At 40.2% G+C, this 2226-nt stretch overlaps 1 annotated feature.

Annotated features, from left to right (window-relative positions):
- Window positions 1748-1945: a transcriptional cis regulatory region, noted in NCBI's record as "candidate enhancer chr4.1623 targeted for multiplex CRISPR interference". NCBI's record gives its function as "positively regulates NMU gene expression in K562 cells {active_cell/tissue: K562}" and the evidence as "EXISTENCE:mutant phenotype evidence [ECO:0000015][PMID:30612741]".

The raw sequence follows: 2226 nt of genomic DNA on the forward strand, positions 1-2226 counted from the left end.
ACCTTGTTATATAAACTCCAGAGAGTCACATGAAGAGTAATTTACATAGAGCACTGAGTCTAGTGATAAATAAGTGTGATCTTCATGCCTACATCAGGGTCATTAGTAAGAATCAATTCAAGGTGGAAAGTAATATACAATTGGAGTAGTTATCAGGTTTAGAGGCAAATTTTGGACAGTCTTTGCAGGCCTGTGTTCTGGTTCTGACTCTACTACTAAAAACATTTTGTGATTTGGGACATGTTATTGAACTCCTCTCCTCATCCGTAAGGTGAAGACAATTCTCACCCAGCCTGCTGCCTAGGACTACTGAGAAGCCCAAGGGAGATACTGTACCTGAGATTTCTTTGACTCTCATAAAGCACTTGGCTATTATAAATTATTATTATTAAAACTTCGACTCATAACCCTTATCAATTTGTATGATTATTTCTGCACATGTTATGCAACAGGCACCATGGACAAACTTTTTAAGGGATATGCTAAATAGAGTAACATATGACCTTGCTGTGACATTAGTTACAAGAGAGTGGAATTGAATATAGAACAGATCTGATTTTGAGCCTAAGAAATAGCATTTTACTAATGGGGGCTTCCATATAATTGTTAATATGGCACTGACATAATGCATGCTGTGACCACATTCCAGCATACTGCATTCTTTCCCTAGGTTGGATTCCAGGACCAAAATCACTTCCTTGGAATTAGCTAATTGGTTAAGGAAATAAGTTAACTCTTCCAGACCATTATCCTTAGTACCAATTAGTGCTAATGGATCCTAATAAAGAACGGGCTATAATAAAGAAGGGCTAAAACCAACCTAAGGACATTTAATGAGATAAATGTAAAATCATAGACCCAGAGACAAGGAATTTTAGAAAAGGAACACTGGTCATCATCCCATTGTTTGGGAGAGCCCAATAAATATTACTCTGTGCTGAACCAATTGAGAAATAAGATAATGAAGTAAGACAGTTGGGATCAAAACTATTACATTATCACTGATAAAGCTGATAATGAAGAAACTGGTTTAAGCATGCAGGGAAGTGGCCCTCCCAATAGGGAATCCTACTGGACTACTGCAGACCTCCTAACCTGAAAAAAATGCTTGCAAAACTTAGAGCATGGGGAGAGTAGGCCAGAGTACGTGCTTTTGGTGGCTTGTTTATTCCTGAAGAAAGAGGAGATTGTGTAGCTAGTTGGTGACAGTGCCAGGGCTGAAACCCAGTGCTGTTCTATTTATTTATGTTTTTTTAAAAGGGGCAAAATCAGAATGGCAGAAACCTCCTGTTTATTAGCATTGTGTCTGAAAAAAGCTGGAGGTGGGGATTGTTTCATTAACTATCAACTTAATATGAAACAGTCTGTGATGGGTGCGGCTCTGGTATAGGGTCCAGATCACAGAGAATAGCATTTCTTGTGTTCCTAAAACTGAGGTGAGGATTGTACTCAACTCCAGGAGCCACATTTTATTAGGAGGATTGAAAATAAAAAGTACAGAAGGATACCATGAGGATAGTAAGAAGCTGAAACAGAGCTGGAGTTTTAAAAGCCCTCACAGAAAAGAGAAAGGACACTTGTTTCTGCAGAGCTCCGGAAGAAAGAAGGCAGAAACCAACACTAGCAGCAGAAAGCTGAACGAAGGCAGTTATAAGTCAATAGAAGGAAGAACTTTCTAATACACACACACACACAGACACATACCCCTAAGCAGTGAGTAGGATGCAAATTTGATCGTGTTTCCTCCATTTGATCCTGTTTCCCCTTGTCTAAAACTACTGAATGGTTCCTTAGTACTCTTAGGATAAAGATCAAGTTCCTTAGCAGAGTTTACAAGGCTCTTTGGGGAGTGGCCCCTCCTTGGTGTCCAGCCCCAGCCTGCACCTGGTCCCCTTTTCCACTGATGGCAACCATACTGACCTCCCTTCTGTCCCTGGTGCACAGCAGCCTCCTTCCCACCTGTTGAAAGTGCCAGTCCTTCTGCCTGGGTAGTCTTCCTTCAATTCTATATCAAGCCAGCTTGTATTCATTCTTCAGCTCTCAGTTTACCCATCCTCCGGGAGACCTTCCTGACCAACAAGAGGAGGTCATTTTGCCTTTGTGTGCTGCCCTTCTTAAGCATTTGTCAGAGTTGTGCCTTTACTTTTGTTTTGTTTTGTTTCTTTTTAATGTGGTAAAATATACATAACATAAAATTTACCATTTTAGCCACTTTTAAGTGTATAG

This window comes from Homo sapiens, chromosome 4 (assembly GCF_000001405.40).
Source record: "Homo sapiens chromosome 4, GRCh38.p14 Primary Assembly".
NCBI classification, from domain to species: domain Eukaryota; kingdom Metazoa; phylum Chordata; class Mammalia; order Primates; family Hominidae; genus Homo; species Homo sapiens.